At 59.1% G+C, this 25,117-nt stretch overlaps 1 protein-coding gene across 9 annotated transcripts, besides 3 other annotated features; it reads right to left on the reverse strand.

Moving 5' to 3' along the window:
- SNAPC4 (small nuclear RNA activating complex polypeptide 4) lies at positions 515 to 25,114 on the reverse strand. 9 transcript variants are annotated; one of them, NM_001394203.1, is made up of 24 exons: positions 25,078 to 25,114; positions 23,243 to 23,381; positions 21,921 to 21,967; positions 20,547 to 20,714; positions 20,242 to 20,367; positions 19,744 to 19,822; positions 19,193 to 19,274; positions 17,617 to 17,721; positions 17,466 to 17,538; positions 16,886 to 17,050; positions 13,388 to 13,535; positions 12,686 to 12,792; positions 12,429 to 12,523; positions 9,664 to 9,758; positions 8,897 to 8,976; positions 8,130 to 8,612; positions 7,197 to 7,280; positions 6,768 to 6,933; positions 6,266 to 6,336; positions 5,684 to 5,794; positions 4,781 to 4,808; positions 2,487 to 4,243; positions 1,293 to 1,425; positions 515 to 744 (listed from the first exon to the last, which is right to left on the reverse strand). In NM_001394203.1, the coding sequence occupies exons 2-23, from the start codon at positions 23,370 to 23,372 to the stop codon at positions 1,300 to 1,302; spliced, it is 4,326 nt and encodes a 1,441-aa protein (NP_001381132.1). In that variant the 5' UTR covers positions 23,373 to 23,381; positions 25,078 to 25,114; the 3' UTR covers positions 515 to 744; positions 1,293 to 1,299. The 9 variants fall into 9 exon arrangements, with proteins under 9 accessions (NP_001381132.1, NP_003077.2, NP_001381131.1 ...); NM_003086.4 differs by having other exon boundaries at positions 6,768 to 7,017; NM_001394202.1 differs by having other exon boundaries at positions 23,243 to 23,385.
- Positions 22,398 to 23,597: an enhancer, noted in NCBI's record as "CDK7 strongly-dependent group 2 enhancer chr9:139291906-139293105 (GRCh37/hg19 assembly coordinates)". NCBI's record gives its function as "activates an origin of replication core promoter dependent on BRD2, BRD4, P300/CBP, MED14 and CDK7 cofactors, with strong dependence on CDK7, by STARR-seq in HCT116 cells {active_cell/tissue: HCT116}" and the evidence as "EXISTENCE:reporter gene assay evidence [ECO:0000049][PMID:35650434]".
- Positions 24,772 to 24,881: a silencer, noted in NCBI's record as "silent region_20511". NCBI's record gives its function as "represses an Ori minimal core promoter by ATAC-STARR-seq in GM12878 lymphoblastoid cells {active_cell/tissue: GM12878}" and the evidence as "EXISTENCE:reporter gene assay evidence [ECO:0000049][PMID:35858748]".
- Positions 24,952 to 25,081: a silencer, noted in NCBI's record as "silent region_20512". NCBI's record gives its function as "represses an Ori minimal core promoter by ATAC-STARR-seq in GM12878 lymphoblastoid cells {active_cell/tissue: GM12878}" and the evidence as "EXISTENCE:reporter gene assay evidence [ECO:0000049][PMID:35858748]".

Consider the following 25,117-nt stretch of genomic DNA (forward strand, 5'->3'; position numbering starts at 1 on the left):
CCCACAGTGGCTCCAGTGAAGGATCGAAGCCCAGATAGCCAAGGGCCTGGGGGCGCTGCTGCCACAGAGACAAAGGAAAGGGAGCTAGGGGACAGACGGAGAAGATGGGGGCTAGTCTTATGCCAATAAAGGCCCATGCAAAAGGAACAGTGGAGGGTGGGGGCTGCCGCCGTGTCGGGGTAGCCAGGTCATCTGTTCCAGGGAACCCCCTGGGTCAGCCAGGGCAGCGCGAGGGCTGGCAGCCATCTGGGGAGGGTGCCGGCTAGCCTGAAGGACAAAGCCACAGATGCTTTCCAGGAAATGGGCGAAAGAAAGCCTGCTTCTCTGACAGGAGGGCAGCCGGGGTACGGGAGGCCTTCCAGGACCCCAGCTCTGGGCCCCCAGCACCCTGCTTGTTCCCGAACTGCCTGCACTAGGGTGGCTCAGCCACTAGGCAGCAGCCTGACCCCAGCCAGGTGGGGGGTCCCTGTACACTGCCCGGTACCTCAGGACAACAAAACCACAACAGCCTGTGTCCAGCTCCACAATTAAAAACAGAACTTTATTCCTCCAAGTGTTCAGGTGTGCACTTGGGGAACAGCCATGCTCCATGCCACACAGTCAGTCGGCAGGCCCGCCTCTGTTCACTGCGGACCTGGTCAGTCAGCGGCCAGCAGATACCTGGCCTCTGGCTGCCTCTCTTGCAGGCTGGGGGTGGGCTGTCTCTCGTCAGCAGGGCCACGGGCTTCTGAGAAAGTGCTTGTCCTGGAACACAGGAACACCAGGTGGGGGGTGCCCTTGACCCCAGCCAGACCCCAAGCAGGGCTGGGACAGACAAACAGGAACCAAGACCACCCCAGCGCCGGCCACGCCCAGTCTGCTTGGTAAACCTGACCCACATGCGCCAAGGGCCAGGCCAGGGCACCAGGGCTCCAGCAGTGAAGAGCCAGCCTGGTGGCTGCGGTTGGGGATGGTGATCGTTTTACAAGCTGGGAGACGACGCAGCAATGCACGGGAACAGGGCACCACCAGAGCACAGCGGCCAGGGAGGAGCCCAGACCCCAAAGGCAGGGAATGAGCCTATGGTCAGGGGCACAGTGGTGCCAAGGCCCGAGGCATGGGTGGCCAGCAGGAAGGATGTGGGTTAAATGCTTCTCCCCCTGGAGGGCCTCCATGACCCTGGACCTGCCCACCTAACCCAGCACACCTGCTGTGAGCGCCAAAGAGCCGAGCAGAGGCCAAGGCCCCCTGCCATCTGGACACCACTCTGTCCCCTGGGTTGTAGGGCAGTGGCCTCCCCACTCAGGACTCACCTGCTGCTCACACCAGCCGCCTCCGCTTCCGGGTGTGCCTGGCATGCCGGGTTCTGAGCACGTCCAGGTCGTCAGGGTCATTAGAAGTATCCAGGCAGGAGGAAGCAGAGCATTTACCAGAGTCTGGGGCTCCCTGAAAGAAAATCCAGGCAGTGGGGACAAGAGTGACACCCCCGAGCCATGATGGACGGGGAAGGGACGGGAGTGAGGAGGGGCCCTGTGGGTGAGTGTCCCACTTGGGACAGGGCACCCTCAGCTCAGGCGGGAGCTGCTCCAGGCACTCCTGGGGCCACACGTGACTGTGCACTCCCTCCCTCGGGGGCTCTGACCCCATCCAAGCCATCCCTCTGGTGGGCCTCCCACTCCCCCATGGGACAGCCATCACACCCAGGCAGGGCAGGAGGCTGTACATGGATGGGGCACAGAGGGCCTCTTCCCCTGGCTGGCCGGGGTCCTCCCCAACTCTTGGACATTGCTTCCTCCCACACTTCAGCCCAGGGACTTGCGAGACACAACCCTGGGGAGAGATGGAAGGCCCTCTGCCACACTCCCTATGACAGGCCCACAGGTCCAGCTGAGGCTGCCTGCTTCTGGTGGTTTCTCAGGGAGGCCAGCCTCCCAGCTGCTGCAAGTGGGCACCCTGGCACCAGGGGAGGAGGCCTCTCTGGGGGCCCCAGCTCCACATGCTTTCCAGGGTTCCAAACATGGTTTCACCTACAGAGATTGGAAAACTCTCCCCAAGGACACTCAGAGAGGTGACAGCAGAGAGGGACCTTTGGGACCCCAGAAATCCAGAGACAAACACAGCCACCACCCTCCACTGTGCCCATGGCCCACCCTGGGAGCACACGTGTGTGTGGCGTGTGCGGCTCAGAGCCGGGTCAGCGTCCATCCCAGAGCTTCTCGCTCAGACAAGGCCACCTGGCTGGGCAGCATCAGGATGGCCGGAGGCTCCTGCACGAGAATGAGGCCTCTCTTCTCCCCTTTTCCACACTGCCCCAAAGGGAGGCCACTTCTGCAGAATCTACACGCAACTGGGCAGGCCAGGAACCAGCTTCCTCCTCCTAAGACACCCAGCAGCCAGCCTTCCTGCCCGCAACTTCCACCAGCCCCCACCCCACTGCTCCAGGCAGGCGAGGGCACCCCAGGGACCGCCGCCTGCCATGGGGAAGTGGGGCTGGGCGCCCACCCTACCTGAATGGGGCATGTGGCTGTCGTGCAGCCCGGCTGCCCGTCCCTGTCTGCAAGTTCCAGCTCACTCAGGAGGTCTTCATCCTCACTCTCAGAGCCCACCCTCGAAGGTACTGAGAGGGTGGTGCGGACGCCTTGGGGGGCCAGGGTGGCCAGGAGCGCAGGGAGGGTGAAGGCTGCCAGGAACCGCGCCCGCAACAGGAGGTAGGCCGGGTTGTCCTGGAGCTGCCCCCGCACCAGCCCCAGTGAGGCTTGCAGTGCTCCGGCCGGCCGCTCAGCCTCGCCCCCCACCACCAGGGAGGTGGCCTTGTGCTCCAGGGCCTTCTTGTGGAGTAGGAGACCGGACAGAGCTCGCAGGCTGCACAGGGCTGGGGGCTGATAGGGCAGTCTGCTGCCCAGAAGAGGCACACGCACCCCCCGCTGGCCCCCCAGCCACTGCTGTGTGGCCGCCTCGCCCTCCTGGGACAGCAGGCCCAGGTCCAGGGCCCCCTTCTCAGGCCCAGGCTGGGGTAGGGGCGGCTTCTCCAGGTCCAGGGCCCCCTTCTCAGGCCCAGGCTGGCGCAGGGGCAGCTTCTCCAGGCCCAGAGGCCCCCTGGGCTCCTGTGTCCCTGAGGGGGACCCCGGCGTCCCCCTTGGCTCAGTTGCTGGGATGACACCACCGAAGGCTGGCAGCCTCCCGGACCAAGGGGGTTCTGCTTCAGGAGGGTCAGCGTGGGAGGACGTCCTGGGCTCAGGTATCTCCCTGGCCACCTGGGCCTCTCCAGGGACAAAGGCCACACTGCCATCCGCTTCTGCAGGACTTTGGGAGAGGGCGTGTGTGGGAGGAGCTGGGGTGTCTGTCCTGCAGGAAGGCTCCGGTTCCCTGTTCATATTGGCTGGGGGCTGCCAAGAGCTGCTCAACGCTGGGGCCCTGGGGCCCTGGGCCGCCCGAGTCTCAGTCAGGGGAGGCAGCAGAGTGGCCAGCAGCCCTGCGGGGCCAGGGGTCCCTGCTGGCCTGGGAAGGCTCACCACAGCTGGTACAGGAACAGGGAGAAGCCCCTGGGCTGTGAGCACCCAGGTGACAGGCAGGGGGACACTGGTCGCCACATGTGGCCCTCCTATGTGCGTCAGGCTGAGGGGCTGGACGGGCAGTGGGGTGGGGCTGGGGGCTGCGGGGAGAAAGGGTGGCGCCTCAGGCAGGCCCTGCTTCCGGGATGCAGCGGGGGCCTGAGACTGTCCGAGACCACTCTCGGGGCAGCTCACAGAGATCTGGCCGGGGCCCAGGGCAGGGGCTTGGGAAGCAGCAGGGGCTGTGCCCTCGGCCTCTGAGAAGACAGGAGCGAGGGGCAGGGCTTGCATGGTGGAGAGTCTCTTGTCCTTGGCTGAAGTCCCAGCCTCCTGCCAGGAGCCAGAAGTGCCAGGTTTGGCTGCCGCGGGGGCCCCAGGCCCAGAGAGCGGTACATTTAAGACGGTGGGACCCGGGGCTGGGCGGCCGTGTGGGGTGTGTGGTAGAGGGGGCTGGAGGATCACAGACGAGGAGACCAGCAGCTGGGACGGGAGCACCACCGGGCCCCGGGTGGCCTCCCTGGCACGGGCCTCCTGAAGCCGCTTCTCCTGAAGCAGCTCCGACACAGTCTTGGGCTTGGGCCGGGGGCCGGTTGAAGCCAGCAGGGACGCCTGGGGTAGGGTGCGCTCCACCCGGCTGGACGCCAGTCTTCGGCTCCCTTTGTGGCTGGCACTCTTTGAGGCTTCTTGAGCCGGCACGTTTGGGAAGAGGTGGCCTGTGGGGAGGAAAGACCCACACTTGATAAGCCCCAGGCATCTGGCCCAGGGACAGCCCCTCGCTGCCATCCCCTCATCAGGAGGGACCATGTGGGGAGCCTGGGGTCTTGAGCCAAGAGAGGGTCAAGCGGCACATCCTGGGTCTCCCAAGTCACAGTGGCTACCCCAGATGGCAATGCTCCGGCCAAAGCCAGGGCAGTGGGCACTCTGGGAAACCCAGCCCATTTAATGCTGGCTGAGATCAGCCGGCAGCCCAGCTTGCCGGTGTTGGGCATGGGCGGACGCTCGCTCCAGACGACCCCTGCCTCTGGGCCCCATGCTGGGGAAGCCTTAGGGCTGCAAGGGGAGCCCAGGGAGCTCCAAGCTGGCCCAGCCGGACTCTCATCCCTGTGGTGGGACTCGAGGGAGCTCTGTCACCAGGGGCCACAGGCTGTGCTGCTTGGGGGCTGTGGGTGAAAGCCAGGGCCAGGTTAGGCCTCTTCCCCGCCAGGGCCAGGTTAGGTCTCTTCCCCACCAGGGCAGAGAAGCAGAGTTACCTGGGGTGCTCTGGGCACTTGAGGATGCCTGGAAATGAAAGAGAGGAGAGTCAGCAGCTCAGGTGTCCTCTGCTGGCTTGGACCACCTCTCCTAGCATCTGGACTATCCCCTGCCACTCCCTGAAATGGGACGAGGCCCCAAGGGCTGGTGCTGGCCTCCCACACGCCTCTGTAGGAACTCCGGGGCCACAGAAGGAGCCAAGCATGTGGCCCGATCCCATGTCCAGTGGCTACGGCACAGAGCCACCCAGAGTGGGCAGCGGTGCTGGAGACACGCTCTGCACCGGAGGCTCCTGAACCGCAGGCTGCTGCTGGCTGTGACCCCTTGGGTAGGGGACGTTGTCGTGCCCTGCACAGCAGGCAAAGGCCTGGCCTTGTTCCCCCTGCCAGTGCAGCTCCTCCTAAGGGTGCCCTCAAGAGCTCTTCTGGGGGGTTGGGGGCAGGGTGGGGTCTGCAGGGAGAGGCGGGGGGGCTGGAAGCACAGAGGCCCAGGGGTACCCCACTGCTGTTCCTGCTCCTCCAATGAGTGACACTGCTTTGTCACCCCACCCCCAGGTGACGGGGCTCAAGGGTGAGGAGGCCTCGCTGAACTTCTGTGAGTTTGGTTTCTGGAGCAGAAAGGCAAGAACCAGGCATCCCCGGCAGACAGCGCCCATGTCCATGACCGCCCAGCGGGGCTATGGGGGAAAACAGGCACGTGGGCCCCAGTGTCAGCCCCGACCTGCACCTGCCTGACTTCCCCAGGGCCTCTCAAGGCTGCGTCCCCTCAGGTGGGAAGTGCAGATGCCTCCCTGAGGGGCTGCGGTGGAGCGGGTGGGGCGGGCAGCCAGCCTCCGTGGAAACCCACTCCAACGCCGGGGCGGGCAGTGGCCATCCTCACTTCTCACCCCAAGTGCCTGCTACCTGCAGAAGATGAACTGGTGGGTCCCGAGCACCAGCCTGGGGCAGCCTGGGTGGCAGGGCCTTCCTCTCTCGGACGACCTCCAAGCAGCCGGCAGTATCGATGTGGAACAGCTGCGGGACACAGGAGGCAACCTAACCATAGCTGCTTTCGGGAGCAGCTCCGAAGCTCCAGAGGCCTAGGCAGAACCTGGGGCAGCCCTGAGGCTGGGGCGGCTACCTTGAGACCTCAGCCTTCCTGCCCTTCTGATGCAGATGCAGGGGAGGCCATGAGGCTGTGGACATCCAGGATGGCCTCCCATGAGACCCAGGCCTGCTCTCCTCCCCCGGCATCTTCCACTCATACTGGGGCCCCGGGGACCCCCTTCCCCGGACACTGTTTAGCCCGATGGGGGCAGTGCACACTGTAGCCGGCACCCCTTCCACATTCACTTGCTAACAGTGTAAGGCATGAAAAGTGCATTTTCAAGGCTAGAAAACTTTAGATAGCTAGACTTTAAGGAATGAATCTACTGCAGATTTCAAAACTTCACCAAAAACTTTTTACAAGGCAAAGGAAAACGAAGCTCTGCCCAAGTAGCTTACCTGGGTAAACAGGGTAAACACAGGGGTGCTGGCCAGGCGGGCCTGCTGCAGCTGCTCCCTGAGGCCATCCGCTGCGGGCACAGGGGGATAAGTGGAAAGCAGCCCCAGCTCCCATGGGCACAGGGGGATGGGTGGAAAGCAGCCCCAGCTCCCACGTGCCTTTCGAGGCGGCTCTGGGAGCCAGGCCAGGGTGGGAGGGGAGGCCTTGGAACCAGCACCCCACAGCCACGCCTGGACAAGGGTGGGCCCTGTGAGCCCTGTCACCACCAAGCTGCCACATGCTTGGCCCAGGAAGAGTGGTGGGGTAGGGAGGGAGGGCTGGCTGTGACTGGGTGTCCTGGAAACCTTCAGGGACGGGAAGCTGACCAGAGGTGGCGCCCACCCCAAAAAGACTCCCCTGCTGAGGCCACTTCCCCAAGTAGCCACCGTCTGCTAGGCTGGATGTACTCTTCATCCTCACCCCTCGCCCCCAGGATGCTCCCAGAGGAGCCCCAGGCCATACCTTGAGTCTGCACTACGGCGGGTCTCTGGGAAGCCTGTGTGCAGGGCACGACAACGTCCCCTACCCAAGGGGTCACAGCCAGCAGCAGCCTGCGGTTCAGGAGCCTCCGGTGCAGAGCGTGTCTCCAGCGCCGCTGCCCACTCTGGGTGGCTCTGTGCCGTAGCCACTGCACATGGGATCGGGCCACGCTGTCACCAGAGCTGACCCCTGGGGATGAGGTGGGCAGGGGTGGCTGCCTCAGCTGCTCTTTCTGTAAGGAGAAGGCAGCACCTGGGGCCCATGGCCAGGCTCGGCCCCCGGAGTGGACCCTGCCCAGTGGCCAGTGCTGCCCTCCACCCCCATCAGGGCATGATCGACGGGGAGAGGAATCACTCAGACCAGGGCGGGGCACGTGGTGGCGTGCGCGTGGGTGTCTGCAGCAGGCCTCACCTGTGTGCAGCTCCGAGCAGCCGTGTTGGCCCTGAGCACCCTCAGCACGGTCTCCACAGGCACTGTCAGCAGACGCCTCCCACCCTGATGAGAAAGCTGCCTGAGGCGAGGCACGCGGGGTGTACGGGACACATGGGGGCCCTCCCCTCGCTGCCCACACACGACTGCCTCTTCACCCAGGCTCCAAAGCGTGGCTGTGTACAGCTCTGCTCTGCCTCATGGGAACGTCCACCATGGGAAGCGTGGGTTCCCCAGGCAGGGCCTCCCAGCTAGGCCTGGCTCCTGGGACATTAACAGGGTCCCATGCCCCCCAGCCAGTTCCTCAGGCTGACAGCAGCAGCCCTTCCAGGTGACGCCCCGGCCTAGGGAGATGCTGGCTGTGCAGCAGCGAGCCCCATGCACCTAGCTCTGCCAGTAGCTTCAGTGTCCACTGTCCCTGCCAATGACTCCCAGGACAGACCAGCCTGTTCAACTCTGACTGCTCCCACAGACATGGCCAGAGATGGGCCTGACACGGTGAAGACCAGCCAAGACGAGCAGACACACCACAAGCCAGGCTTGTCCCAAGCAGGTGGACAGGCCCTTCCCAGGGAGGGCCTCCAGGTGCACAGGCTCACGAGGAGGGAGGAGGGGCTCCTCCCACTGCTGCCTCTGCCCTCCCCAACCCTGGCTTGGGGGTGAAATGTTTCAGAAATGCCTCCAGGTCCAAGTGCCCATTCAGCCATACCCCTGAAACAGTCAACAAGCCAGGAAAAATGGAGGCTTCCCCAACAGTCCCCCCGACGCACAGCTGTCCAGAGCTCAGCCAGAAGTAGCACGTTCTGATGCACACGAACCCTGGGGCCCCTGCTGCTGCACTATCCCCAAGCGTCAGCCCTGGCGAGCGAGTGCCGAAAGTGCACTTCCCGTGGTACACCCAGGGCCGGGGCCTACCTCCAGGGCCTGCTTCTCTGCGCCCGCCGGGCGAGTGTCTGCTGAGTGGGAGGCCTGGGCAGACCTCGGGACAGGGCCGTGGGCCCTGGCAGGGACCTGCACCGGACTCGTCTCCTCTCCAGGAGCCGCGGCTGTGGTGGAAGCTTCCTTGCTGCCGCCCTGGCTGGCACTGGACCCCTTGGGAGGGCTGAGGGAGGCAGCGGGGCCTCCCAGCCAGGCCCCTGCCCCTCCTCTCCATGGCTGGCTGGTGCTCTGCCTGGCAGGAACCCACAGGTCCATGTCCGGGACCATGTACTGTGGGGACAGCAGCGCTCTGTCACCCTCCCCGGCCTGCGCCTGCTCTGGCTCGTCCTCCTCGCTGCTGCTGCTGCTGCTGCTGCTGCTCCCTCCACTGCTGCCACTGCTGCTGCCGCTGCTGCTGGTAGAGCTCCACCGGACGCTGTGACGGGCCCTCCGCCGCCGCCTCCGGAGACCCTGCTTCTTCTGAGGGGAGGAAAGAGCTACTTAGAGGCCTTGGCAAGCCCGGTTCACCCATGATGGCAGCAAGCAGGCCAGCCCTTTGGGGAGAGGCCCAAGCGGGGGCGCCTCCGGGGTCAAGAGCAGCCGCTGCCGAGGCAGGGTCTCCCTTTGCCCTTGGCCACCCAGAAGAAGAAATGCCAAGACCAGAAACCGAACGCCCCCCTCCCCTCCCCTCCTCCTGCCTGCTGGACCCCCCAGTTGACCAGGCCATTGTCTGGTTTCAGATAAAGAAGGAGCGAGTGGCTCACCCCCATCATGATCTTCCACTTGCTCAGACACTGGGAGCCAGACCGATGGGGCAGCTCAGAAGCTATTTTTGCCCAGTGACCTGCAAAAGCCAAACCCCATGGAAATGCCTTCATCCAAAGATTCTTCCCCAGGACAGGCTTGCTGTTCCCCAGGAGACTCGCCGTGGCCCCATCAGAGTGGAGCCTCCTGTGCACTCTCACGCTGGGGGGTCAAGCATGTTGGGTGCCTACAATTTGGCAGCATCTGATTCTCATTGGATGCTCAGCCCCTTAGGAAAGTTCTGCCAAACATGTAACTGAGAAGGAAAAATCGTCCTAAGCGCACACCACGGCCCTCACATATCTGCTCCCCCCAGGCTTCCGCACCAGCCACCTCCCACGATTCCCGCTCTTCACAGTGTGGGGCAGCAGGAGGAGCACGGGTGCTGCTCTCACAGGGCAGAGCCACAGTATCTGGTGTGTCCTTGAACGTGGCAATACCACAGCTAGGATTTACTCTAAGGGGACATTGCAAATATAAGCAAAGACTTCGCTACAGAACACTCAGCTCGTCGGGTGTGGTGGCACACACCTGCAGTCCCAGCTACTTGGGAGGCTGGGGCGGGAGGATGGCTTGAGCCCAAAAGTTTGAGGCTGCAGTGGGCTATGGTCGCACCACCGCACCCCAGCCTGGACGACAGAGCTTGCTCTGTCTTTATCTTGATCTCTTTTCTAAGAAACAAAAAACAAAAAAAAGAAACTAGAAGAACAAACTGTCAGCAACTTACCGACACCATATTTTTCTATTAATTCAATTAACTGTTCCTCTTCTTTTAAATTCCACCGACCCTTTTTCAAGCTGAAATGTAATCTCCTGAGATACCTGAACGTGACATGAAAAGCAAAGAACGTTTTAGATGCCGAGACGCCGCCCGCTGCTGCCCCAAGCTTCTTTAATGGTTTCTTGGATATGACACTAAAGGCGCAAGCAACAAAAGAAAACTACAGATAAAGTAGACTTCATCAAAAGCTAAAGCTTTTGTGTCCCAAAGGACACCATCAAAAAAGTAGAAAGTGTACAGGCTGGGAGAGAACGTTTGCAAGTCACGTGTCCGATAAAGGACTTATATCTGAAACATATGAAGAACTCTTACAAGTCAGTCATAACTAGACAAGTAATGTCAAAAATGGGCAAAGGACTTCAACAGACACTTCTCTAAAAACCTATTTCTATGAACAGTCACCAACCACATGAAAAGAGGCTCCACATCAGCCACAGGGAAGCGCACGTCAAAACCACAAGACACCACTTCACACCCGCTAAGATGGCTAGAATCACAGACAGATCACAAGTGCTGGTGAGAGTGTGGAAAACCGGAGCCCTCATACATTCCTAGTGGGAATACGAAATGGTTCAACCTCTTTGGGAAACAGTCTGGCCATTCCTCAAAAGGTTAAACACAGCGTTACCCGGACCGAGCAATTTCACTCGCAGGATATAGCTGAGAGAAATAAACAGATATCTATGTAAAAAAGTGCAAGCAAATGTTCAGAATGTTTTCAGGGTTCATCCATGTTGTATCAGAATTTACAGAAACGCGGTATTTATATGAGAATCCCACTCCCCCCCCTTTTGTTTTTTTTGAGACGGAGGCTCACTGTCGCCCAGGCTGGAGTGCAGTGGCGCAATCTCAGCTCGCTGCAACCACCAACTCCCAGGTTCAAGTGATTCTCCTGCCTCAGCCTCCCGAGTAGCTGGGATTACAGGTGCCCACCACCATGTGTGGCTAGTTTTTGTATTTTTAGTAGAGACAGGGTTTTACCATATTGGCCAGGCTGGTCTTGAACTCCTGACCTCATGATCTGTCCGCCTTGGCCTCCCAAAGTGCTAGGATTACAGGCGTGAGCCACCGAGCCCTGCCAACCCCTTTTTAAGGCCGAATAATATTCCCTTGTATGAAAATTTTATTTTCCACTCATCTGCTGATGAATGCTTGGGCTGCTTCCGGCCTTTCACTCTTGTGAATGATGCTGCTGTGGACATTGTTGTATCTGAGCTCCTACTTTCGATTCTTTTGGGTTTTATGCTTATCAATCTTGGGGGTATAATTCTATGTTTAACTCGCTGACGAACTGCCATGCTTTCCAAAGAGGCTGGACCATTTTACAACGCACAAAGGTTTCAATTTCTCGACATCCTTGCCAACACGGTGACTTTTTTTTTTTTTTAATTAACAGCCATCCCAACGCGTGTGTGGTTTTGACTTGCACTTCCCTAATGACTCATGGCGCCAGGCATCTCTTCATGTGCTCACTGGCCATCTGTGCATCTTCTTTGGAGAGACGGCCACTCAAGTTCTTTGCCCGCGATTAGATTGGGTTGTTTTTGTCGTTGAATGGCTTTTTCGGGTGATGAAATGTTTTACAATTGATTGTGGTGATGGCTGCACAGCTCAATGAATACTAAATACTAAAAACCACTGACCTCTACCTCTACACTTCATTTTTTTTTTTTTTTTTTTGAGACGGAGTTTCACTCGTCGCCCAGGCTAGAGTGCAATGGCGTGATCTCGGCTCACTGCATCCTCCGCCTCCCAGTTTCAAGCGATTCTCCTGCCTCAGCCTCCCGAGTAGCTGGGATTACAGGCATGTGCCACCACGCCCGGCTAATTTTGTATTTTTAGTAGAGACGGGGTTTCTCCATGTTGGTCAGGCTGGTCTCAAACTCCCAACCTCAGGTGATCCGCCGGCCTCGGCCTCCCAAAGTGTTGGGATTATAGGCGTGAGCCACTGAACCTGGCCTTCTACACTTCATTTTAATTAATTAATTAATATTTTTTTGAGACAGTCTTGCTCTGTCACCCAGGCTGGAGTGCTGTGGCGTGATCTCAGCTTACTGCAACATCCACCTCCCAGGCTCAAGCGATTCTCCTGCCTCAGCCTCCCAAGTAGCTGGGATTACAGGCGCCACCCCCACCATGCCCGGGTAACTTTTGTGCTTTTAGTAGAGATGGGGTTTCGTAGAGACGGGGTTTTGACCTGGCCTCAAGTGATCCGCCTGCCTTGACCTCCCAAAGTACTGGGATTACAGGCGTGAGCCACTGCGCCCAGCTTCGGAAATATACACTTTAAATGAACGCATCGCATGGTGTGTGAATTATCTCAACGAAGCTGTTTTTGAAAGGAAAATAAGCAGGAAAAGGAGGGAGCTGCAGCTGTGTGCCCAGAGGTCCTGCCTATCAGCATTCTGAGAGAACTGAGACAACTAGGGTCAGGAAAAGCCGCCCAGGGAGCTGTCTCAAGTGGAGCCCATGCGTTGCTCCGGCAGACAGCAATACAGAAGTCAGGCTTGGAAAACACAGCTCAGCCGGGCCAACCCTGGCAAGCAAGCGCCCACAGCCCACACCAGAGTGCACCTGGTCAGCGACCCACACGGGCCCCTCCCTCGCCCAGCGCTGGCCGCTGTCCCCCAGCCCGCCCACAGCCCACACCAGAGTGCACCTGGTCAGTGACCCACACGGGCCCCTCCCTCGCTCAGCGCTGTGCGACTCACCGATCTCGGCACTGGGCATCGCTCCTACCTGGCACCTCTTCCCGGATTTTAAACCAATCCTGCTCCCCGTATTTGGCAACAGCTTGAAGCAACTTCTGCAGGAAGGGACAGGCAGACAAGTGAAGCCTCTGCAGGTACGGCTGCAGCCTCCCCACCCTGAACCCAGTCAGAGAAGGGACCACTGGGGCACAGCAGCCGCTGAACACAGCCGCGTTACCTTCCCAGAGCCCAGTTCTCCTAGGGTCCCGCACACTTACAGCATCTTCCTCCGGGGCCCAGTAACCCTTCTTCAGACCAGGATCCAAGCTCTTGGTCCATCGGTAGATCAGCTGCATGGAGTCTCTCCCTTCCATATAGTAGACAACTAGGGACAGAGGAACAGGGAGGTCCTGTGGGGCCGAGACACACACCCTCCATAGAGTAGACAGCTAGGGACAACAGGGTCCCGTGGGGCCGAGACACCCACCCTCCAGATGGGTCACATAGAAAAGAATCACTTTGGCCAGGTGCAGTGGCATCATGCCTGTCATCCCAGCACTTTGGGAGGCAGAGGCTGGCGGATCACCTAAGGTCAGGAGTTCGAGACCAGCCTGACCAACATGGTGAAACCCCGTCTCTACTAAAAATACAAAATTAGCTGGGCGTGGTGGCGCATGCCTGTAATCCCAGCTACTTGGGAGGCTGAGGCACGAGAATCGCTTGAACCCGGGAGGCAGAGGTTGCAGTGAGCCAAGATCATGGCGTTGCACTCCATCCTGGGCAACAAGAGTGAAACTCCATCTCAAAAAAAAAAAAAAAAAAGTCACTTGAGTCACCAAGAAGCGAACTGTGGAACAGCCAGGACTGTCTAAGCCCTCGTCTGTCTTGTTGCTTCTCTGTGAATTTTCCCTGCAAGTCTCCAGTGTCCTGATATGGGGCCCTGTGACAGCCTGAGAGCCGTCGGGGTGGAGGGGCCTCACTTCTGCGGTAGGGGATGTGGCTGCCGACGCGCATCTCCTGCACCAGCTGCGTGAGCATGCGGTCCTCCTCCTCTGTCCACTCCTTGCGTTTCAGAGCTTTGTTGTGCTGCTGGAATTTCTGCAGGCACTGGAAGGCGCTGCGGCTGGTCTTCCCAGGCCCAAACAAAAGCAAATGAGTGTTACTGCGCGGCAGGATGTCCAGATCTGGCTCTGAGTGCCCCAGGGCACAGGTGGGCCCATGAGCCACTGGGGTGACCCTTCTGCAGACCCCAGCTCTCCTCCTCCCAGACTCCTGTGGGCTGATGGAGAGCACCCCACGGTAGGAAGACAATACACTCACTAAATAGGACCAGGAAGGACCAGGTGAGAGAGGAATCAAACCTTCACTTAAGAAAATATTAAGAAAAATTCACAATAGGTAAACTGATATGACTCCAAAACCACACTGCAACTCACTCAACAGAAACTCCCAGCTTGGCAAGGGCTGGGAGACGCACTGCTCTGCATGTGGCATGCTCTCTAAATGCAGTTGCTAGCACCTTCTCTCCCTTCTCGAGCTCTAGAGTATCTCTCAGCTAAGGGGTATGGGGTGGAGGAGGTACGGGACAGCCCTTGGTTTGGTGTCCATGTCTCAGGAGACGCCCTCAGAAGAGAGTGCCCCAAAATGACTCTCCCAGCTTCCCTGTGTGGCTCGGCTCAGCAAACCCACCCTCAGTCCACACAGTGGACCATCTGCCCAAATCTTTTCCTCACTCATCTTCTCAAGGGGTTTTCCAAGAGCTGATGAGTGCTACCTGAACCCTGTTCTCTGAAAGTGAGCTGCTGGGTGGCACAGGGCACACAGGGCTAGATATGCTCTGAGGTTTGCTTTTTCTGAAAGTGAGCTGCTGGGTGGCAGAGGGCGCGTGGGGCTGGACGTGCTGTGAGGTTTGCTTTTTCTGAAAGTGAGCTGCTGGGTGGCAGAGGGCACGCAGAGCTGGATGTGGTGCCGCTGAGCTGTGAGTTTTGCTTCCAAGGCTTTCTTCCCCACCAAGTCCTTCCCAGCTCGCTACATCACAGGTCTATCTGAGACTCGTTCACCACAAACAAAACCACCACCCCGGGGTGTGCAAGCTGCAGGGCAATCCTAGTCAACGTGTGTGAGCCTCGCCCGCACGCCCCCAAGAGAGTGCTTCTGGGAACATAACACACTCAAGGCCTCACCCGTCCTCCTACACTCAAGCTGGCGCTTCCCAACCAGTGGAAAGAGAGACCCTTCTCACACCCATCCCAAGCCTGCCGAAGGAGTTGGGAAGGCAAAGGACTGGGGGGTGGGGCGGGATTCAGAGCTGGGCCCTGCTCGGGTAGCTGAGAGCAGCAGCTCTCAAAGGGGGCTGGAGGGTGGCTGGAGTGAAGCTGGAGGGAGGCTGCTGAGGCCTTAGCCTGGCTTTTCTTGACAGTGACTAAAAACACTTCCCTGGAAGGAGAAAGAATCTGGCGGGGGAAAGTGCTGGCGTCACGCTTTCTGATATTAACAGAGAAGCATGTCTGACTATGTGTTCGAAGGAGAAAAAGCCATTAATGGATGGAAGACAGTTGAATTCCCAAAAATCACAAGGAGAAAAACCGGACTTACAGTTTCATCAAACCAGCAAGACAGAGTGGAAGGAAAAGAGGCCACAAAGTAAAACGGACTCGACACACCAGACCCAGGAGGACACCAGGAACACCCACCCTCCCACAAAGCCAGAGGCTGGTCAGGCGGGTGGGAAAGCAAAACCCAGCTGCACGCTGCTTTCATGAAAACACTTGGAAATGACGATTTGTTAAAAGGCTGAAAATACAGGGATGGGCCGGGCGCGGTGGCTCACGTCTGTAATCCCAGCACTTTGGGAGGCTGAGGCCGGCAGATCACAACGTCAGGAGACTGAGACCATCCTGGCTAACACAGTGAAACCCCGTCTCTACTAAAAATACAAAAAATTAGCCGGGCGTGGTGGTGGGCGCCTGTAGTCCCAGCTACTCGGGAGGCTGAGGCAGGAGAATGGCGTGAACCCGGGAGGCGGAGCTTGCGGTGAGCTGAGATCGTGCCACTGCACTCCAGCCTGGGCGACAGAGTGAGACTCTGTTTGAAAAAAAAAAAAAAAAAAAAAAAAGGAAAGAAAAAGAGCTAATGAGCTAACGCAAGCTGGGCTGAATCCCTGGGTGATGGGCTGATCTATGCAACAAACCACCATGGCACACGCTCACCTACGGAACCAAACTGCACATCCTGCACACACAGCCCTGAACTCAAAAAATATGAAAAACAAAAAAGAAAAAAAGAAAGCAGACCCCGATTAAAAAAAGTTATGTGTACCAAACTATGTAGCAGTAAAATATACATAGAAGAAAAACCGATTTGTATTTATTTATTTATTTTTTTTTTTTTTGAGACGGAGTCTTGCTGTCGCCCAGGCTGGAGTGCAGTGGCGCGACGTCCGCTCACCGCAAGCTCCGCCTCCCGGGTTCACGCCATTCTCCTGCCTCAGCCTCCCGAGTAGCTGGGACTACAGATGCCCGCCACCACGCCCGGCTAATTTTGTATTTTTAGTAGAGACGGGGTTTCTCCATGTTGGCCAGGCTGGTCTTGAACTCCCGACCTCAGGTGATCCGCCAGCCTCGGCCTCCCAAAGTGCTGGGATTACAGGGGTGAGCCACTGTGCCCGGCAGAATTAAGCATCTTTAAAGGCAAACTCAATTTAATAGCTGATATAGAGTAGGCCCTACTTACAGAGAACATACCTTTTTCTTAAAAACAGTTTTGGCAAGTTTAGCTGGGTCTGCTATAATCAGGTGCTCTGCCATAAAAAAGTAAAATATATTTGAAAAATGGAGATTTTATACATCTCGCCCCTAGTTCATGTTCCAATCAAATTCAGATAAAGAACCACCACAAGAACTCCCAGAAATCCAACTATTTAAAAACGGAAACATACACTCCTAGATACACCTAGGTCCAAAGAGGCAATAAAAATGGAAACTAGAGCTACTTTGGAAATCTATGAGAAGAAGAGTTCACGCCAAGCTACTCTCAGGGTGGCCTAACAAGCCTCGTTATCAAGACAAGAGACCCAAGTCAGTAAAGAACTGAGTCCTTACTCAGGAAACCAGAAAAGCGGCAAGAACTCACACGAGGAAAAAGCGCTTTAGAAACATCAACAGAATAAACTCCCGAGGCTGATGGAGACAGAAGAAGACTAGAAATAAGAAAGGAGACAAACTCCGGTAAACTGGGCATGCACCGCTGCATGGGGAGACCTGGAGGACTGGGAAGGCCCAGAGGAGCTGCGGCAATGGCCTAGTGGCAGAGAGGGCTGGGCAGGCTCCTTCCCTAGGGCCACAGCCTGGAGGTGGCAACACATAGAAACCTGGCGGTGAGTGAGCACTGGGGACCCCGCACCCGTCCAGCAGCCTCCCGCTATAGGGCCCACACGCCCTCAGGTCTCCTGGCCCCTGGGGTCCAGGCCAGGCCCTTACCCCCAGCTCCTCTGCAATCTTCTGCCACTCCAGGTGGCCGTGTGCAGCCGCGATCGCCTGCAGCCGCTCCTCCTCCTCCCTGCTCCACTCCTGCTTGTTGATGCTGGGGTGCTCCGAGTTCTGCCAGAACTTCCGGATCTCCTCTGCACTGCGGCTGCCTTCAAACTGCACCGACAGAGACACTCAGCCTTGCAGGCCACTGACCCCAGGGGCACCCTAGACGCAGCTCCAGGCTGAGCTGTTGCTCTCCGCCAGCTGGAGGCTTCCACGGCTGCAAGTAAGCGCAATCTTCGTCCAACTCACTAGGCCTTGCATAGCCAAACATGTAGACTTGGCTCCAGATGCAAGGCCGGGAGCCCTCCAGACCATCTCAGAAAGGGCCGTGCACCAGCCTGAAGGCCCTCGTGAGTCCACTCGCCATTCCCGACTGTGGGACATGTGCTTGACCCGGGTGGGTGGGGGGTCACAGCAGAACCTGTTGCCAGGGAGGGTGTGGCCTTACCACCCAATTCCAACTGCACCCGGGCTACAGGGAGCTGTGCTCCAAGCTGCTTGGGGCTCAGACCTGCCCCTGACTTACGTTAATATTGGAAATCTTCTCCCAGTCGTGGCTGTCCAGCCTGTTTCCCAGCAAGGCCTCTTCTGGAAGCTGGCTGGTGGAAGGGATGAGGGTATTGGCACCACGCCTGGCTTGTGGGCTCCCCTGGGCCCTCCCGGGAGGCCCCCCTCACTTGATGTCCTGGATCTCCTTCTCGGCTTCCCTGCCCTGCTTCTCCAGGGCTTGCCTCTCCAGCTCACTGGAGACTTTGCTCTGCTTCTGGTGCAAGTACTCGAGCCTGCAAAGCAGAGCAGAGGCAGAAGGGCTGGGGCACGAGGGCTGCGGGGCGGGGCAGGTTCTCTGCACATTACAGGGCAAGGAGTGTGAGCTCAGCAGAGATTCCGAGCCTCCCTCACCCTCCCTGCCTCGGCCTCCTCACCCATGAGGGAAGCTGTAGCACCCACCTCCAGGCTGCCACCGGGGTGGGAAGGGCTGCAGTGTCTGCTGACACAGAGGCTACCGCCTGCTGGCCCCCGTGTCTCAGAGCCTCGCCACAGCCCTCCGGAGCCTCAGTGCCCCAGCTCCCAGCCTGTGCCTGGCACAGAGACACAGCCGTAGGCAGATATCCTGACTGGTGCCCAGTGAGGAGGCCAGAGGCTGTGAGGCCACAGTAAAGAACCACTCCCCAGAGCAGGCCAGGGAGGAAAACCCAGCTCTCCCCGAGCCTGAGGAGAGACCCACCGTCATCACTGCAAACCCTGACCATGCACATCAGGCCACGGGGGGCAGGCGGGACCCGGGACCCCTGGCATGGCCAAAGCCCTCTCAGTGCCCAGAGATGCCCTGGCAGCTTGTATTCTAAAGGCACCCCCTCTGCCTTGAGAGCTCATGGTGGCCCCACAGAAGACAGATGGGGACCTGCTGTGCTGTTGAGTGGCCAACCAGGTGCTGCTGGGTCTCTGGGCTCTGGGAGCAGCTCTGTCTTTGACCAAAGTCATCAGGACAGCAGCGCCTTCTATCAAGTGCGGACAGTAAGGCTGTGCTGTGCCTTCTTTGGTCACGTGATTATCACCCCATCAGCAAACAGCAGGTTTCAGGAATGGGAAAGGGAAGCCCAGAGAAGCTGCCTGAACCACACCCCTCATCATGGCCGTGTGGACCGACCCCATGCCCCGAGCCACACCTCTCATCGTGGCCGTGTGGACCGACCCCGCGCCCCGAGCCACACCCCTCATCGTGGCTGTGTGGACTGATCCTGCGCTTAGCCGCCCGCCCGGCCATGGGGAAGCCCCCTTCATGGGGAAGGGGCATAAAGTCCAGGCATGAGCATCTCTCCATGGCCTGGCAAGACCCGCTGCAGAGAACGGGCATACAGCTAAGCTGAACCTCTGCCAAGCCCAAACCAACCAGCCTTGGCTTTTCCTGTTGGCCAGGAAAGGCTGTTGTGTTTGTTTTTGAGACAGGGTCTCGCTCTGTCACCCAGGCTGGAACGCAGTGGTACAATCATGGCTCACTGCAGCTTTGACCTCCTGGGATCAATCGATCCTCCCACCTCAGCCTCCCGAGTAGCTGGGACCACAGGTGTGCACCACCACACCCAGCTAATTTTTTTACTTTTTGAAGAGATGGGGTCTCACCATGTTGCCCAGGCTGGGCTTGAACTGGGTTCAAGAGATCCTCCTGCCTTGGCCTCCCAAAGTGCTGGGATTCCAGGCATGAGCCCTATGCCCAGCCTGAAGACCGTTTTTGACTTATGGTTTTAGACTTACTTCAGTAACTTGGGCTGAAGCAATCGCTGCAGGCGGTCACTCACCACTGACTTTCGGAGCAAGGCCTTTTCCCAGTTTTTCCCTGAGGAGAAGCCACAGCATCATCACTGGGGGTCTGGATCCTCTCCACGGCCCAGCCCCCACGGTTGGTGTGCACTTCCCGAGGCAGTGGTGGGGGGCCCCACAGCGAGTAAGCAGCACGCCAGACCTACTGACGTGGCCCCTCCACCCAGCTGACAGAGCTCCACCCGAGGCCTGGCGCCAGCTCACACGTAAAGCCACAGGGCTTTGCGGCCCAAGACAAGGGCGGGGAGACTGAGCCAGAGGGTGGGGTGCGGCCTGGCTAGCCCCTCGTGACTGGTGTTCTGGAAAGGACCTGCTCAGTGTGGAAAGGCAGGAGTCAAGGGGCCAGTCCCAGTGGTCAAGGCCTGAAGGAGCCATGAGGTCACAACAGAGAGAGGTCTGAGAACTTGGGGAGAAACTGGGGAAAGGAGGGCCATGGGGAGGTGTCCCAAGCTCAGGGGTGCCGCAGGGCCGGCCAGGGCTCTTACATTTGGTCACAAGGAGCTCCTCGAAAGCCTTGATCCCCTGGGCAGCCTTCTCTCGTGTGTCCTCGTTGGCAGGTGGCCCCTGTCAGGGTGCACGGCATCACCACAAGCACAGGCCACATGTGCTCCCTGCAGGCCCAGCACATCCCTCCAGAGCCCACAAAAGGACTCGGGCTCCCCCTGCCTCCTGTTCTCCCGTACTGTGAGGCTGTGGGGGTGCAACCCTGCCGGCCACTCCATGAAGCCTGATGAGGTCAGGCCTCGCACAGACAACACTGGCACCTCCACGAGGGCTTGCTCATCGCTTCACAGGGCAGTCCTGGCAGCCCAGCGCAGAGCAGAGGGCAGCTTGCCCACCACGGAGGAGGCAGTTTGAAGGAGGTTGGCCAATGTTATCTTGAACTCACAGGAATTCACGACTCCCTGCAGCAGGACTTGGGGACAAGAACCCTTCCCACGGTGCAGAGCCTTGCCGACAAGAGCAGGGCCTCGGCCACTCACCACGCCCGTGACCTTGTCCTTGAAATACGGCTTCATGAAGTGCCCCATGTATGTGCTTGGGGGCAGGCTTTTGCCATCTTTCACCTTGGTGCCTTTGGACCCAGCCAGATCCCTCATGAGTTCCTCCTGTGACAGACACAAGGCAGGGACCCCTCTATGGACCAGCAGCAATGACTCTCCCTGCGGAGGAGACCCGGGGCAGAGGAGAGGCAGGGAGCTGGGGAGCCCTGGACCTGGGAGGCCCAGCTGTGGGGGGCTCTGGGGGTGGGGAGGTGTGGGCACCGGGGGGCCGAGGCCCATCCCACCTGCTGCTCCCGGTTCTGGGCCAGCAGCAGGTTGGCCTCAGCCAGCTTCTCCTGGATGACCTCCTGGTAGACCATGTTCAGCTGCAGGCAGGTTTCTGGGTCTTCAGGGAGGGTTTTATCCTTGGGATCGTCCTCGTCATTGCTGGCTTCGCCCCACCTTTCTTCTTCCTGGTAACGAGCCAGAAATGGCATGTGACGAGATGAGACGTGGATGCTCCCCTGTCCTCGGCAGCCAGTCGCCCATCGCTGGGCCTCTGGGACACCGAGGCAGCTCTGGCATAGCAACACCCAATGTGGAAGCAGGAAGTGACCCTGGTGGGCAGCGGGAGGGCGTCTGAGTTTGGGAGTGGAGCCTGTCACTCTCAAGGCGGCCTGTGTGCGCCTTTCCTAATCCACGGCAGGCAGAGCCTCCAACCTGGAACACGCCAGGGCTGCGGCTGCTGCAAGGCAGCAGGCAGCTTTCCAGGACCACAGGCGTCCTGTGAACCCTGAACTCTGTCCTGAGCCCCTGTCGTGTGCATCACCAGCAAAGCACGGGGAGCAAGCCTGTGTGGGAGGAAAGTCTCTGCAGAGCCAGGAAGTGGACGCAGTGAAAATGCCCACTGGGAGGTGAGGTGCCCACAGGCTACAGCAGGGTGCTCACTCACAGAAGGTGAACCACACAGCCACGCAAACATGAGGAAACTCAGTACCCACTAACTTTGCAGAAAAAGGAAGCAGCAAATCGCCAACGTTTTCCAAAGTAAACAAAAGGCAGCTAATAAAATAATCACTGGCCTCACAGAGCAGTTGCCAGGTGCTGTTTGGGTGCTTGTGTATTTTTCTTTTTTTTGAGACAGGGTCTCACTCCATCACCCAGGCTGGAGTGCAGTGGTGCAATCACAGCTCACTGGAGCCTCGGCCTCCTGGGCTCAAGTGATCCTCCTGCCTCAGCCACCCAAGTAGCTGCGTCCACAGCCACGTGCCACTGCACCAGCTAATTTCTGTATAGCTGCTCGTGTTAACTGACTTGTGCTGTAAACGTCCCCGCTGCCCCACAGGAATCTGAGGCACAGAGAGGCGAGCTGTGAGGGGCAGGACGCAGGTGCACAACTCACAGCTTTCCGCAAGTGACAGATGCCACACAGGAGACAGAGGCATACAGCAATGAGCTCAGAAAAAACCCAAGGGGTGTGATCACCAAGCTGTTAACAGTGGTTATTTCTGGGGACAATTTCAATGACAAATGCTTTTTAATTTTTTTATAACAAACGTGAATCATTTTTATAATGCAGAAAAACCAATATGGGTTCAAACCACGCCCCCTCCCAGGCTACTTTGGAAGGTGGTGGCAGGCCTGACCCAGTGGCACAGCCAGATCAGGCCAACAGTTACCGAGATCGGGGGATCGGCAGGATCCAAGTCCTCAGAAGGCAGTGAATCTGTCAGAAACACAAGCAACACCGTGTTGGTAACCAGCGTCTTGGGCAGGGTGGGGGCGCAGCTCACCACTGCTTCTTGGGCAGACCTGGGGTTGTGAGGTAGTGACAGCGCCTCAGGCTGAGGCTGGCGGTGAGCGGACCTTCCCTCCCTGACAGCGGGGTGGGCACTGGACCAAGGCCGGGTTAGCCAGATAGAGAAAACTCTGACCACACACTGGGGACCTCCAGGCACACAGGACAAAGCTACACAGGGTTCACTGGATGGCACAAGCTATCTTTACTGGAGAGACAGGGAAAGTTTAGCAGAAAACGGACCTCTCCTTCAGGAGCTTAGCCGGTCAGATGGGAGGCACGGATGTAGAGGCCCTCACCACAGGAGAAAGATAGCAGGTTGCCTCAGAGGCAGGCCCTGGGTCTGGGAGAGGTGGGAAGCAAGGCTGGGGGGGTCTCCTGTCAGGGCAGCAGCTGGTGGGGTTGGGGTAGGCTCAGAAGCTAAAGGGAGCATGGAGGAGAGCATGTGGGGAGGGGAGCATGTTGGGAGGAGAGGCTGTGGGGTGGGGAGCCTATGGGGTGGGGAGCACATGGGGAGGGGAGCACGTGGGGTGGGGAGCACGTGGGGAGGGGAGCACGTGGGGAGGGGAGCACGTGGGGAGGGGAGCACGTGGGGTGGGGAGCACGTGGGGTGGGGAGCACGTGGGGAGGAGAGCACTTGGGGTGGGGAGCACGTGGGGAGGGGCACATGTGAGAAGAAGAGATCCTAGGGGTGTGAGCTGTGTTGACCATCCAGGCATGGACTGTCCAGACTGCCATCTGGTGAGGTTCAGGCCTGCCCCCTCCTCCCAGGATGGTCCACTCCAGAAGCCCTGCACAGGCCCAAGGAGGCCAGGCCCAGACCCTGGGATGCCTAGAGCCCAGTGTACACACACAGCCAGCTGGTTCAGGGGCTAGCAAAGGAGGAATTGTCAGAAGCTCTCTGGCTGGAGTACAGAAAGACACCAGTGTTGGCAAAAAATTGGGTCTGGTCCAAGCAGCACCAGCCATCGTTTATTATTATTATTATTATTTTTAGAGACAGGGTCTTGCTGCGTTGTCCAGGCTGGACATGAACTCCTGGGATCAAACAATGCTCTCACCTCAGCCTCAGGAGTCCCTGGGTTTACAGGCCTGAGAAACCACACCCGGCTACCATCACTCCCTAATGTGCCTGAGAGGAACCCAGGAGGCAGACCAGCTGTTCTTACCAGGACCCCAGGAGGCTAGGTACAAGGGGCTTACCTGCTTCAGAATCTGACTCGAGACTTGATTCTGAGATCTCCACGTGGGAGCCCGAGGAGCCGGGATCCAAAATCCTTTCCAGCTCCTTGATCTCCTGTGTTATCTTCTCTCTTTCAGCATCTACATCCATGACTCCCGCCTGCCTCCAAAACACACCCCGAGATGTTAGAAACCAAGACCGTGCCGGGATCCCATTCTCCTTCAGACACACCCGCCCATGGGGGATGGCAGGAGCCTGCTCGGCAGTGGGCACTGGGCTCCCCAGAGAAAGATTAATAGGCCAGGCACAGAATCGGGGAACCCTGGGACAGGAACCTCAGACCCCACAAACTCCTGCTATGTGCTCTGCCAGGAGCCTAAGCCCCAAGAACATCTCCCGCCTGCTCTGAGGCTGCAACCAGCACAGGCAGGGAGTGGATGAACAAGGACAGGCCCCACTGTCCCGTCTCTGCTCCCACACCAAGCCACATGGAAACTGGCCACCCAGCGTAGAAGGTGTGGGGTGCAGTGGCAAAGTCACTACAGGGCAAGGACACAGCCCGTGACCCACTTTGGCCATCCTGCTCTCCCATGACACAGAGCCGGACCACAGAGGGCATTTGAGAAACGTTCACAGAGACACACACTGAGACTGCCCAGGTGGCAGGCACTAACAGCATGGTTGGGAAGGAAGCTCCCAAAGGGAAGGCTGGCTGTTCTCTGTACATCCAGAACAACGCCTGGAACGTGGCAGTGCCTGACACTAACAAATGTTTGTCAAGCTTTTTTCTTAGGAACTGTGGTCCAGGAAGTCTGAAGGGAGAAGGACGCTAGAGAGAGAGTGGGAGAATGAAACATTAGCAGAGAAAATCTAAAGGAATCACTAGCACAGACCCGGGAGCCCAAAACACCCAACAACAAAGAGAAACGCCCTCCCCCGTCCTTGGCGTGGCTCTCCCTGCTGGAGGCTGACTGGGGCCCTGCCCAACTGGAACAAAACCAAAGCATCCACCCGCGAGCACCGTTAGCCGCATCAGCAGCCCAGGTCCCCTCACTCCTTCACAAAGCCCCTTGTTTATGCCCGAAATGCTTGTGAACCTGTAAACTCAGTTAACAGCCGGCCAGAGGCAGAGCTGGCAGCGACCGCAGGCTGGTTCAGCGCCTCCGGGCCGGCGGAGACGCTTTCCTCTGGAAGCCTCACACGAGGCTGCTGCCTCCCCCTCCCCGTGTCGCTCAGGTGAGCAATGATCAGCAGGAAGGAGGTCAAAGTCACACGTGCTGAGCCACTGACATCAGGGGCTGTCCCTCTCCCCGCACCCCTCTCCCAAGGGCTGGTCATGAGGGCTGCCCACCAAGACGGAGCGCAGCAGGCGGTCCCTCCAGCCCCAGCTGCGGGGACGCCACCCAGACTCGGCTGGGCCCAGGGAACCCCAGGATGCGCCAGGACGATGGGCGTTTAGGCACTGGCTTGGGAGACAGACCCGGCCCAGGCCCAGTTCCGCCTCCTGCTCGCTGCGTGAACTGGGGAAACCCCCTCCGAGGCTCGGCCACCGCGGAATCGCCGGCGCAGTCCCCGAGACGCACGCGGGCGCCCTGCAGCCGGGGCCGCCCCGCCGGAGCCTCCTCGGAGCCCGCAGCCCGCTCCCAGCCGAGGGGCTCCCAGGGCCAGAATCCCCGCGCGCCCAGGCTCGGCCGGACGGGGGCCACGCCGGGCCTCAGTTTCCCCGACTTTGGGCGCTGCCCCGCCCCCGTCCCGGGCCTCGGCTATCCGCTCCTCGGGACAGCGCCCCCTCCACGGGGAGAGCCCTGAAGCTGCCGACGCCACCCGCGCCTCACCTGCTGGGCGCACACCTTACCTGGCCGCGCGGACCCCGCCGTCGCCCGGGCGACTGCAGA

Source organism: Homo sapiens, chromosome 9, assembly GCF_000001405.40.
Source record: "Homo sapiens chromosome 9, GRCh38.p14 Primary Assembly".
NCBI classification, from domain to species: domain Eukaryota; kingdom Metazoa; phylum Chordata; class Mammalia; order Primates; family Hominidae; genus Homo; species Homo sapiens.